Source organism: Homo sapiens, chromosome 10, assembly GCF_000001405.40.
Source record: "Homo sapiens chromosome 10, GRCh38.p14 Primary Assembly".
In the NCBI taxonomy this organism is placed as follows: domain Eukaryota; kingdom Metazoa; phylum Chordata; class Mammalia; order Primates; family Hominidae; genus Homo; species Homo sapiens.
In genome coordinates this window covers 30,676,655-30,690,293 of record NC_000010.11, presented here as the reverse complement: position 1 = coordinate 30,690,293, position 13,639 = coordinate 30,676,655, and the positions used below count along the sequence as shown (strand labels likewise).

Below are 13,639 nucleotides of genomic sequence, written 5' to 3'. Positions count from 1 at the left end.
ACCAAAGCAGGTGGGCAGCTGGATTTGGCAGTGGCCATCGCTTGCTAACCCACAGGCTAGATCACTGTTCCACATTTGTAATAAATGCTTTGCTGATTGGCATTCCCTGCTTAGCTAGTTTAGTGATTATATTATACTTTTATATTTCTGTTCAGTGGTGGTTGTATTATTTTTAACCTTTTAGTGGTCACTGTCAATAGTAGGGGCTCCCAGTGCCTAGTATTTGATAAGTTTCCCGGATTGGACATTTTAATCAAGAGATAAAAGGCAATTTCTGCATATTGCTCTTTTATTTTGCATATTTCTTTGACTTGTATATTGAAATATTTAGTTCAACATTCATTTGCCATAATTTTACTTTAGAAATCGTTTGTGATTATAAGAAATAATGTCAGCTTTTACCTTATTGGAAACTGATAACATACAATTTAAAGTTCACCAGGCCCAAGATCATGTTGATTTGCTGATGTATAATAATCTGCTTTCAGAGTTATAAGCAAAATCACTTAGTTCACAATTCCAATTGGATGGCATCCCAAGGGCTTAGATTCAAGAACAAATGTGATATTGGGAGTCCCCAATTTAGTATGTTATCAAATGAATTAGGGCTTGATAGTCTAATCGGTCTTGACCAAAACTTCATTTTTTGAAGATAACAACAAAGGCGGTGATTACAGTATGAATTAGGAAAGCCATAATAGAAAGAAAACAATTTAGCTGAGGAAGAAAAGCAATCAGAATTAGGATTTAGAGATTCTGAGAGCAAAGCCTTCTGGCTTCCGGTAGGTATGTTTTTGTTATTCAGTCTTCTTAGAAAGGTTTCCAGCCTGTCCAGCTTCAGGTCCCATTCTAACTGCGTATCTGGTCTGGCTTCGATATCTAGGCAAGCAGAAACCGTCAGTGAGACAGCATCACTAAGGCCTCTTCTGATCAGGCTTGGCGTGGCCGAGGCCTTGGCGACTTACCTTCCAGGGGTTTGGAAACGGGTGTGGTGCCTCTTGTTTTACCGCAAATGGCTGAGGCTACTGGGGTTATGGCAGTAGGTGACGCCAAACCTGTGGAACACACAGACGAGCTACTGAGCATCTCAGGGTCACTTCTGGAAATCTCCGGGACCCTGACCGATCTCCAGGAGTCCCAGGGTAGACGGCACAACATATAAGAATTTACACACATGCAGGCACACACACACACATTTCACACGTACCACGACTGTGGGACAACCAACTGCAGATGTAGACAGGATTTTATTATTTCCAAGGACTGTAGTGGCTGACGAGCTGATAATCCAAAATGAACGGTGGAGATGTGGGAAAACATGTCCATGACACGTAGACTTGAGCAAATGCAGCTGTGAGTTCTGAGGCCCTTTGGAGATGGTGGGGGCAGCTGAGAGTGCATTGGTGCCATCTGCAGAATGAACTGTGTCACACTTGCCAGCAAGTGGCCCCCCACACTGGAGCTCTCCTCCAGGCTGAGGGGAGGGAGGGACAGTGGCCTTGGGGACATGACACAGACAGTAACCCAAGGAGGGTCAACCTTTCAGAAGAAACCACAGAGCAGGGCAGGTCTGTACCGACTACAAGTTTTGGAAGGTCCAGTCCATCTCCCGTGTGGGCAGAAACAGGAAATGCTTTTCCTCGTATATTTACCGAGAAGCAGGGTGGGGAATCTTTAAAAGGGAAAGTGGTGAGAGACACATGAAAGGGAAAGGGAGGAATTCCTGCATGGAGAAAGTATCCAGCTAGAAGAAGAAAACTTAGTAAAGAGAAGGATGAGTATTGCTTCCCTAACCTAAGTGGAAGGCATTGGAAAGAAAACTAATTAGTGCATTTACAAAAAACCAAAATGAGATGTGAATGTTCTCTGTACTCATTTGTAATAAATGTGAAATCCTTAGATGACATTGCCACTTAGATGACAATGCAACCCTGGACGAACAACATCGACAGGATATGCAAATCACTATCACAAGGAAAACCAAATGAATGAATGATTCTGCCCCTTCCTCCTGTGAACGGGAGAAGTATTATAGCATAAAAAATTTAATAAAAATACAATTAAATGGTTTAAAACTCAAGTTTTAGGTAATATCCTAGAAGTACTTCTCATTTTATATATGTTTGATTGATGATGTCATTAAAAGTTTTAAAAGTTGTTTCAATTGCCAGAACTGCAAAGGGTTTATATCCATGAGAAATTAAACTTTCTTGAAAGATTTAAAGATAAATAAAATCTGGTATCACAGGGTGGGGAGGGAAATCATCATTCACTAGAAGGATGCTTAAGAGACATCAGAGGAGTTCATTAGCAAAGAGGCCGTTAACTCCGCAGCTAATAAACAGGACTGGCTCTGAAGGCTGGTTTCCAAAGCAACCGGAGAAATCCATCCCTATCTTGGCCGGTGCCGGGCAAATCCGCTGCCATGGCTCCCCCTGCTGGCGGTTCAGGCAGTGGCACTATCCAAAAGAGCTCTTCTCCCAGCTAGAGATAAGGATCTTTAGGCAATGAATGGCTCAGGGCATGGAGATGCAGATTACAAAATGTTAAGACAAAACAAAGATCCCACCATAGCTCTTTTCAATGAATTCTAGGTACAGCAACCAGTCACCTACTGTCTTCGGGAACATTTTCACGTCTCTCTTACTCCAGGTGTGGTTGGAGTACTTGGCTTCCAGGAGAATCCTAGAATACCACGAGAACCTTGTGGAGTGCTAACCGTTACACAGAATCAAGGAATATAAAAAAGGGAGAAAGTCCTAACGTGGCTAGCGGGAGAAGAGAGGTTTCTGGGGTAAGAGAATGAAGGTCAGGTCCCAGATGCCTCCTGGCAACGCGCTGAGAGGTGGTCACTCCTGGTGGCCTGATGTTTCTGGGAGATAGGACCCCAGGCTGTTGTGCAGGGGGTTATTTTATTCTGCAGTGAATGTTAATCGGTTACCATATCACTGCAAATCAAAAAGTGCTAATGACTCAAGTGAAACATATAACCCAGGAGGTGATGGCAAATATTAGAAACAGAAGAGACAGTTTTTTCATTAATTATAAAGTATAAGAAGATAATTTCCTCAGTGAGCCATATAACACCTGTTAAATAAAGATCTCTGATATATTCAGGAAAATATGAAAGCGAACTCATCCACCGAGAAATGGGAACTGTTGCTTCCACAAACCTGAATAAGAGCAAATCTATATCCTCTGATGTCAATGTGGACAAGGGCAGTGGCATTTGGTAGTAAGAACCCACTTACAAATAAATTCAGATTTTTAAGATGGAAGAGGAAAAAAGAAACCAAAGCAGAAAGTCATCAAGATGAAAGTCTGGGCTAGAAGTTGGAAAACCTGAGGTCTGGTTCAGGTTCTCAGTTCCAGTTCTACTTAGTCACCCTGCACCTAACGACGTGCTTCTGTTAAAGAAGGGTTGGGGCTCACGTTAAAGGAGTTTAAACATGAGTGTCCAGTTCTGTGATCTGATGCAGAAAATTGGCAAATAATTTACTGTAAGAGTAAATTATCTTCTCTCATCTTTTCACAATTCCAAGATGAGGCTGAAGAGATGTATTGGAAGGGATTCCCCACTAAGATTTGAGTTATTTACAATTCAGGGATTTCCCCTCCTTTCCTTCTGCAAACATTTATTATGTACCTATAATGAATTAGGTACTATTCATGAAAGCATGGACCCCTAAAGGTTCTGAGAAAAAGGAAAGCTAAGCCTATAAAGTTGATGACAAGATGTTAAGACAAAGTGAATGTGAAAATGTTTACCACTAAGTTGGGAAATCTGCTTTTAAATAATAGCTTAGAAAATGATGGTATGTGCATATAGGTGACAAAGGGACCCCAAATTTTAACGATTTCCTGCAGGACATGAAACAAAGCCCCAAACACTCCTATGAAGACTTAAAGCTCTCAGATGACTTTACTAAGTATTTCATATGTAAGTCAATTTCATAAATGTTTGAATACAGACAACAAATCAGTTCCAAGAGCTCAGCAGCAAAGAATGGACTGCCCCAGAGACATCCCACTGCCTTGGAACTGAGGACATATTTTAGACATCTATTAAAGCATATCCAGGATTGACTTTGGTCAGTCAGAGAAATCAGGTTTGATGGAGAAGGACCCAGGAATTAATATAAAAGGAAGAGGAGACAAACTTCTCTATTGTGAAAGGCTGACTTGGGGTAAGTGGTTGCCAGGTCACAAGAAAATGGAAACGATTTAAAAGTAATTATGGGAAAGGACCAAGATTTGCTAGCAGACCTGAATTGCTTTTGAAACCTACAATTGCATTCAATTCTAAAGGGGTAAGTTTTGAAATAGTGACAAATTAAATTATGCATTTGAAGATGACACTATTTATGACAAAAAGATATTCAGTAGGACTATCTCACAGAACCTACCCAAAAAACATGTACAGAATGTCAGTAAGTTTAAAACTTTTTAAAGAAAGCTGGACAGGGTGTCTCACGCCTGTAGTCCTAGCTACTTGGGAGACTGAGGCGGAAGGATCACTTAAGCCCAGGAGTTTGAGACCAGCCTGGGAAACACAGTGACACCCCATTTCTACATAAAAGTTTTAAAAAGCCAGGCATGGTGTTGCACACCTGTAGTCCCAGCAACTAGAGAAGCTGAGGTGGGAAGATTGCTTCAGCCCATGAGTTTGGGGCTGCAGTGAGCCATGACTGAGCCACTGCACTCCAGCCTAGGCAACAGGGCAAGACCTTGTATCTTAAAAAAAAAAAAAAAATTAAAGAGACCATGGTTTCTTCTTTTAAATTGAGCTATCGTGTACCACCATGCCCTCCATGGGTGAGTGTGCTCACATGTGTGCATTGTGCACACACCACACACATACACAGGCACACACACACAACTGACCTTTCTTCACCATCCTGCCAGCCACAGTGAACTGGGTCGAGTCGTTGGCCGCTCCTCTGCCTCTCGTCTTCCAGGCCTCCTCTCTCACAGTGATGAGCTGCTTCCTCTCCTCAATCATCATTTGGCTCTCTCGACTTTCTGTGACCCGCTGTTCATAAATGTACAGAAGAGAAAACAGGAGAGAGAAATGACAGCGGTGTGGATCTCAGCCTGCAGCATTTCATGCGTGAAAAAAGCAGGTAGACAAAGAGGAGTAAGTATATTGTCCAAAGATGTTCAAAAATGTTCTATCTGAAATGGGCTCAGCTTCCTTACGTGCAGGTTGGGTGGGAGATCACCATTGGCGATGCTGTAACTTTAGATGAACGCCTCTGTCCTGTGACTTACCGGTTTGGGGCACTGGAGCACCAGAACAATTCTTTGTAAACACAAACAATTAAAAATAGATTGTTTTCATGCCCTGGACTCTACAGGGTTTTAAAGTTTCTCTGTCTTAACCCATCTAGTTAAACTCAGTTAACTGGGAGATTTTTATCCCTATATACTCACAAAGAACATGATTGATCTAGAAAACTTTATCCATGTGAGCACACGAGGAACTTGCCCAGTTAGAGACAGGGAAGGCTGGTTAGGAATAAGGGGCAGGAGGTTTTCTGGCACTCTGCTTGGTTTTTCCTGCAGCCACTGATGTTCTGCGGGCAGGTAGACAACCAGGAGAGCCCACAGAAGTGGCTTTAAACTGTGAGACATCTGATGTTGAGGGTGAACTATGCTGTAGAAAAAACCTACATGCACGGTAACATTTCTACGTAAAATGCTCTCAGCAGTTTCTAATTGGAAAATTTCTGGAGAGATCTGCTTCTTCCATTTCCAAGCCATTGGTGATGCTCATTAAGCTTGTGGTTGGGGATGTGGCAGGAGGGGAAGGGGAAGAAGCTACAGGGGACTCAAAGGGTATCAGGAAAGGAGGAGGGGCTCAGGACAGGCCTAGGATGAGGAGATGGGACTGAGGAGGGAGGGAGAGGAGCAGCGATGGAGGCAGAGGACAGGACTCACGCCACTGAGTGATGTGTATTGGGGAGAAGAGTGTAGTTGGCGGTCGCGGGCAATACCAGGGCAGGAGATCCTCAAACGCTGGCCGGCAGAGTTTGCTTTTCCTCTGTCTTCAAGCCATCCCTCCCTGCACCACAAGACCCCTGTCTATGGCGAGGCACTGGGCTGGGTGGGGAGCGGGGGAGAAGCACAGGAGGTGTGGAGCTAATGCCAAGGAAGGAAGAGTGCAAAGGTGACCCCTCCAGAGCAGAAGGCATGTCCCTGGCCGTCACCTGCAGGTCTCCTCTGGAAGGGGGTCTGGGGGCCGGCGATAGCCTCCTAACTTTGGCCTCTCGCTTTCCCCTGTCTTTTGGATCTGAGGAAGGCCATTGCTGCTAGTGCATCTGCTTTCAAACTACATCTGAGCACTCCACACCTTCTTCTAGCAGGTCCCCCAGATTGCTGCTAGTGCATCCGCTTTCAAACTACTTCTGAGCACTACTCAACTGCTTCTGGCAGGTCCCCCAGCTTTTCTGCCTTCCTAGGGCGTTTTCCTTGGCTAAGAAGTCACCGTGGATCAATGTGATCCTAAGGCCTCGTGCTGACACAGGGGGGGACTCGGAGAGCCCCGAGTGAAGCCCATCGTAGAGATTCTCTTCCCTGATGCCTCTCCTCCTCACTGCGGCAAACCACTTCCCTTAACCAACCCACGAGAGAGAAGTTCCTAATTCAGGAGGGACAGGCAGAGAGTGGAGATGGGGGCAGTTCATTTTCTTAATGCCCTGGAATAATGGGGGTTGACAGAGGAAAGGCGCCTTCCTTTCCTTTCCAGCAGCACAAAACCAGGTCTGCACTGGGAAGATTTGGTTTAAGCTATGAACGTGGACTTCTCCATCATCTAAATGATGAATCTTTCTTTCACAGGATTCTTCTATAAAGCCCTCATAGCCAGAAGTGATTTCGAGGTCCCTGCCAACTTAAATTAGGTTAAAAACCTTTTCCTAAAGAGACATGACAACCAAACTCAATGCATGATCCTGGCTTGAATCCTAGATGGGGTGGGGGCTACAAAGGGCATTATTGGAGGAAACTGACAATTTTAAGATGGACGTGGATCAGATAAATATTGTATCAACATTAACTTCCTCCTCTTGGCCACCATATTGTGGTTATGCGAGGAAATATCTTTGACTTTAGGAAATAAAGTCAAATATTGAAAGGTAGAGGAGCACAATGTTTCCAAACTACTGGCACATGGTTGGGGTGGGAAAAATGAGATGGGGGAAGAGAAGGCAAGAAAGTGGGGTGAGGAGTGGAGGGAGGAAGGGAGCGAGAGTGAAGGAGGGGGGCCAATGTCAACAATGAGTGGTTCTGGTAAAGGGTACGAAAGTGCTCTGCCTATAATGGAAATTTTTCTATAAGTTTAACATTTTATCAAAATTAAGATTTACTGATTTTTTTAAAACCCTAACTTTTCTGCTTATGATTGGCGAGAAGCTCCTAATTCCAAGTAACTCTCTGAATCACGTATCCTTTTTAAATAAACGATGAGGTTCACTTGCCCAAAAGACCTCATCAAAATTCAACAAAGAGAATATGTTTTCTTTGAAAATGAAGTTTCAGGAGTGAATTTTAATCAAACCAAGATGGCACTTGGGTTCAAATATTTCCAAGAAACACATCAAGTGCCAAGAAAGTTGGCGTCTCCAAAGGTCCAGCCATCACTATGGTGACTCACTATTCACTTAGTCAACTCTGCGGTGAATTATCTCAGGCATCTCGACAGTCCGGGGTGGGGTAGTGGGTGTGGATGGTGACTCAGAAAGATGGTGGCCTTGAGTCAACAATTTTGTTTTTCAAAGCACTGGGATTCCCCCAGAGCCCTTCATGCACATGATGGATATGAACCCTGGGACAATATGACCTTCTTAGAATTTAAAGCTTCCATTTCTTTGCCAGATCTAGGTCAAGAACAAATAATTTGTAATCTCTGCTAAATGATAATATTAAACATAAACGTTTTTGCTTCTCTAAAAATTTCTACTTAACATTGCTACTTAGTAGGGTTGGCTTATGGCTCCCCAATTCCTGCTATCTGACTTTACATGGCTCTATAAGGAGGTAAATAATATATAGGCTGTTTATACTCCAAAGAATTTAACAAAAATCTATCACAAGTTGCTCTTCTATTTTGAACTCAAAGTGTGAAAACAAAGAAGATGGATATCTTTGTCCGTTTGCTTTTTCTCAGCTTCTTCATTATTGTCTTGTTTTTTCCTTTTAATTTTTTCTTTCCTTGTTTAGAGAAGGACATATGTACATTAATAAGTACTGTAGCATTTCCCAGGTTTAGCCGATACAAGTTGAGTGTTGACTGGAATCGTAAGAGAGAATTGGAGAAGAATCTGAACAGAAACCTCTACCCCATCTGTCCTTTATTCTTTCAAAGATAGATCCCATGAATGTGGTGGGGAGAGGCAGAGGGAGAGGGTGGAGGAGAAAATGAGTATTTGTGTATGTGTATGCACATGTGTGTGTGTGTGTGTGTGTGTATAGAAGGTAGTGAAACAGGTAGAAAGGACGGTCTTCTTTTAAAGATGGTCAGAGACTTGGTAAGTCACAGCTGGAAACTATGCAAAGAATGAATTAACATGAATGCTTTTAGGTTGCATGATGTTGCTGATGGGTTTGCTTCTGTCTTTATACATCGACTGAGAAATCATAGCAAATCTCACTTAATGTTTCTCACACAGGGATGTGATCCAACAAGAGAGAGCACAACTAAGTCGTATTATAAGGATTAGGGTAGATTTAAGGGTAAAACTCCTCCACAACCGGAGAGCTTCATGGGAAGAAAATACTGTGATCTGGCTTTTAAATTTTTATCTTATTCACATCTAGTTAAACTAAACTATAAAGGAAGAAATTATAAGAGCACGTATTAAGCAATAGAAAAAAGGTCAAAGTAATAAAGTTGTACTTTTCAGTTTTCAAAAACGCTAGCATCATTTCGATTTCTACACACTGTGAAAGAAATTTAGCTTTGCCCCTTCCTTAAGAGAAATTTCAGTCCCTTGTCACTGCATGCAGCCTCAAATAGCCTGAACAAGAGATGAAGATCACGGGTCTAGGCTCAGACCTTGAAGTAATTGTTTTCCAGTCCTGTCACCATCTACCAGCTCCTAAGATGAAAAGAAGGGAATAAAGTGAAATCTTCTTCTGGTACAGCCCTGAAGCATGAGAGAAAGGAATTCAGGCTGAAGCCTGACACAGAGACAAACAGTCCATTTAGACAGAGCCTGTGTGCTGTTTAAATGCTCTCTTTTCTTCTCTGAACCTCTGTATTATTAAGTATGAAGACACCAGTACTGCTGGAGGAAAGAAAAGGAGTGACTTGACCTCTGAGAACACAGATGAGCTAGTGCTACATACTTAGTATATAAAATATTTACATTCAGCTGGGAAAAACTGGTCAGAAGTAAAAATATAGAATTTTTTGAAATTTTAATTTTGAAGTGATGAAACATAAATGTCTTTGGCAAATGTTATTTTCTCTTAAACTTAACAATATATGGAGAGATATTCCATGTTCATGGATAAGAAGACTCAATTTTGTCAAGATGTCAGTTTTTCCCAACTCGATCTATAAATTCAATGCAGTTCCAAAGTCCCTGCAAAATATTTTGAACATATTGACAAACTGATCATAAAGTTTACATGGAGAGTCAAAAGACCCAGAATAGCAAACACAACACTGAAGGGGAAGAAAAAAGTTGGAGGACCAACACCACTCAACTTCAAGACTTACTATAAAGCCTCAGTAATCAAGATTGTGTGGTACTAGTAAAAGAATAAACAAATAGATCAATGAAATAGAGAGCTCAATAGTAGATTCATATAAATATAGTCAACTGATCTTTGACAAGGAGCAAAAGCAATAGAATGAAGAAAAGATACTGCTTTCAACAAATGGGTGCTGGAATAACTAGACACTCACATGTGAAAAAAAAAAAAAAGATCCAGGTACAAATCTTCCACCATTCACAAAAATTAACTCAAAATGGATCACAAAGACCTAACTGTAAAATTCAAAACTATAACACTCCTAGAAGATAACGTAGGAGAATATTTAGATTATTTTGGGTTTGATGATTAGTTTTTAGATGTAACAGCAAAGGCAATATCCTTGAAAGAAATAACTAACAAGCTGGACTTCACTGAAATTAAAAACTTCTGTAAAAGACACTGTTAAAAGAATGAGAAGACAAACTACGAATGGGAGAAAATATTTGCAAAAGACATGTCTGATAAAGGACTGTTACCCAAAATATGCAAATAACTCTTAAAACTCAACCATAGGAAAACAAACAACCAGATTAACAAATGGGAAAAAAATCTAAATAGATACCTCACCAAAGAAGATATACAGATAGAAAATAAGCATATGGAAATATGCTGAATATCTAATTTGCAAATCCCTAATGATGGGATTTGCAAATTAAAACAAAGTGACACTATTACACATCAATTAGGATGGCAAAAACCCAAGCACTGACAACATCAAATGCTGGCAAGGATATGAAGCAACAGGAAGTCTCATTCATTGCTGGTGGAGATGCAAAATGGTGCAGCCACTTTGGAAGACAGTTTGGAGGTTTCTCATAGAACTAAACATACTCTTACCATGTGATAAAGCAATCATGCTCCTTGATACTCAAATGAGTTGAAAACTTATGTCCAAACAAAAGCCTGCACATGGATGTTTATAGCACTTTTTTATAACTGCCAAGATGTGGAAGCAACCAAACTGTCCTCCAGTAGATGAATAGATAAGTAAACTGTGGCATGCCCAGGTAATGGAATATTATTTGGCACTAAAAAGAAAAAAGCTTTCAAACCATAAAAAGACATAGAAGAATCTTTTTCTTTCCTTCCTTCCTTCTTTCTTTCTTTCCTTCCTTCCTTCCTTCTCTCTCTCTCTCTCTTTCTTTCTTTCTTTCTTTCTTTTCTTTCTTGCTTTCTTTCATGCTTTCTTTCTTGCTTTCTTTCTTTCTTCTTTTTCTTTCAGATGGAGTCTTGCTCTGTCACCCAGGCTGGAGTGCAGTGGCACGATCTCTGCTCACTGCAACATCTGCCTCCCTGGTTCAAGCGATTCTCCTGCCTCAGCCTCCCGAGTAGCTGGGATTACAGGCATCCGCCACAATGCCTGGCTAATTTTTGTATTTTTAGTAGAGACGGGGTTTCACCATCTTGGCCAGGCTTTTCTAGAACTCCTGACCTCGTGATCCGCCTGCCTTAGCCTCTCAAAGTGGGATTACAGGCATGAGCCACCACGCCCAGCCAGAAGAATCTTAAATGTATATTGCTAAATGAAAGAAGCAAATCTGAAAAGGCTACATAGCGTATGATTACAACTAGATGACATTCTGGAAAAGGCAAAACTATGAGACAGTAAAAACTTACAGGTTGCCAAGGACTGGGCAGTGAGAGTGACGAAGAGACAGCACACAGAGGATCTTCAGGGCAGGGAAACGATTCTGTATGATAGTGTAATGGTGGACATATGTCATTATGTATTTGTCAAAACCGAGAGAATGGACCACACCAAGAGTAAATTTTAACATAATCTATTAACTTTGGGGATAGTGATGTGTCAATGTAAGTTCATCAATGGTAGCAAATGTGCCACTCTGGAGGGGGATGTTGATAATTGGGGTGGCTGTGTGTGGGAGGGCAGGGATGATGTAGGAACTCTGTACTTTCTGCTGTGAACCTACAACTGCTCCAAAAAAATAAATTCTTCTGAAAAATATATCTAGTTGTCCCTCAGCTTCTATGGGGGACTGGTTCAAGGACCTCCTACAGATACCAAAATCCACAGATGCTCAAGTCCCTGAAATAAAATGGGGTAGGATTTGCACACAGCCTGTGCACATCCCCGCTGTGTACTTTAAATCATTTCGTGATGACTTATAATACCTAATACAAGGTAATGTTATGTAAATAGTTGTTCTGCTGTATTGGTTTTTAATTTTTTAACTGTTGTATTGTTCTTTCTTATTGGTTTTATTCCCAAGTATCCCTAGTTGGTTGAATCCTTGGATGCGGAACTGGAAGAGATGAAGGGCCGACTGTATACACTTAAAGACTTCAGTAATATATCTTTTCCTTTAAAGTTTAATATTGGCTTATTTCAAAGAAACACAAGCTCATTTCCCCCGTTCGTGATGGAATAGGAAGTTTGCTCCACATTTCAGCCCCTTTCTTGGGGTGGACACTGGCTGGGTACGTGGGGCCTGGGCTCTTAAAACCAGCATTTCCAGCTTCGGGGGAAGGAACCAGGAGAGTGAGGGAAAGGCCGCCCCAGGGAGAAGAAGTGGGGAGTTTCCATCTGTGAAGAGGCGAGATGACTACGGGAGGACCCCAGACACCTTCCCTGTCAGCTTCGCATGTGAAACCCTGAGCCACTCATTCAATAACTGCTGGTGCTGCTGGAGCAGGCCCATCGCGGCACTGTCAGAGGCCACCTGACAGCTAAGAAAGCCCCAGTCCTGCTGGGGAGGCAAGGCCCTAGAGGGAGGGGACAGAGGCCCTAGTGGGAGGGGACAGAGGCCCTAGTGGGAGGGGACAGAGGCCCTAGAGGGAGGGGACAGAGGTCTTAGTGGGAGGGGACAGAGGCCCTACGAGGGAGGGGACAGAGGGCCTAAGAGGGAGGGGACAGAGGGCCTAAGAGGGAGGGGACAGAGACCCTACGAGGGAGGGGACAGAGGCCCTAGTAGGAGTGGACAGAGGCCCTAGAGGGAGGGGACAGAGGCCTCAGTGGGAGGGGACAGAGGCCCTAGAGGGAGGGGACAGAGGCCTCAGTGGGAGGGGACAGAGGCCCTAGAGGGAGGGGACAGAGGCCCTAGTAGGAGTGGACAGAGGCCCTAGAGGGAGGGGACAGAGGCCTCAGTGGGAGGGGACAGAGGCCCTAGAGGGAGGGGACAGAGGCCCTATGAGGGAGGGGACAGAAGCCATAGAGGGAGGAGACGGAGGCCCTATGAGGGAGGGGACAGAGGCCCTAGAGGGAGGGGACAGAGGCCCTATGAGGGAGGGGACAGAGGCCCTAGAGGGAAGTGATGGGGCAAAGCCCTACAGAGAGGAGATGGGAACCTGGCATTGATGGAAAAGCGGAGCTGTTTTGACACCAAGGACATTCCACGGGGAAATAAAAAAACAACTGTTAATATTTTTCATGTTATTCACCTACGGAGTGGCTCAGTCCAGGCAAGGTCTCCCTTCCAGGGTGGGAGTCCAAGGTCTCCCTTCCAGAGCGAGTACAGCGAGGATGGAGGGAAGGGTGAGGGGGTTCATGGTCTCTTGCTTTAATAGGGCCATTGGAACCAGCTCCCCCTGGTTCTTTAATAGGGTCACTGGAGGGGCCTCCCCTCTCTGAGTCTTCCTCCCTGTCCCTCCACACCCCAAACTGCCTCCACCATATCCTCCTCCTCTATGAACTGAGCAGGACAACATCCTCACTGAGCCGGAGCAAAGAACACGGACGCATCTCCTGGGCTCCTGACTCAGGATCCAGGCTTGGAGGCTGAAAGGGGACACTCTCCTCTTAAACCAGTTTCATGACTATGAGGTGAATTAATGCCATCAAGTCCACCTGAAAATCTGAGCCAAGGATCAGTGTGTGTGTGACTGACCCTAAATATATGAAGAACCAATTAAACACACA

The 13,639-nt window shown here is 43.2% G+C and overlaps 4 annotated features.

Annotated features, from left to right (window-relative positions):
- Nucleotides 2,254-2,792: an enhancer, noted in NCBI's record as "NANOG hESC enhancer chr10:30976431-30976969 (GRCh37/hg19 assembly coordinates)". NCBI's record gives its function as "activates a minimal SCP1, AML or CMV promoter by ChIP-STARR-seq in primed H9 embryonic stem cells {active_cell/tissue: H9 hESC(primed)}" and the evidence as "EXISTENCE:reporter gene assay evidence [ECO:0000049][PMID:30033119]".
- Nucleotides 5,813-6,312: an enhancer, noted in NCBI's record as "H3K27ac hESC enhancer chr10:30972911-30973410 (GRCh37/hg19 assembly coordinates)". NCBI's record gives its function as "activates a minimal SCP1, AML or CMV promoter by ChIP-STARR-seq in naive H9 embryonic stem cells {active_cell/tissue: H9 hESC(naive)}" and the evidence as "EXISTENCE:reporter gene assay evidence [ECO:0000049][PMID:30033119]".
- Nucleotides 7,173-8,372: an enhancer, noted in NCBI's record as "P300/CBP strongly-dependent group 1 enhancer chr10:30970851-30972050 (GRCh37/hg19 assembly coordinates)". NCBI's record gives its function as "activates an origin of replication core promoter dependent on BRD2, BRD4, P300/CBP, MED14 and CDK7 cofactors, with strong dependence on P300/CBP, by STARR-seq in HCT116 cells {active_cell/tissue: HCT116}" and the evidence as "EXISTENCE:reporter gene assay evidence [ECO:0000049][PMID:35650434]".
- Nucleotides 7,723-7,862: an enhancer, noted in NCBI's record as "active region_3220". NCBI's record gives its function as "activates an Ori minimal core promoter by ATAC-STARR-seq in GM12878 lymphoblastoid cells {active_cell/tissue: GM12878}" and the evidence as "EXISTENCE:reporter gene assay evidence [ECO:0000049][PMID:35858748]".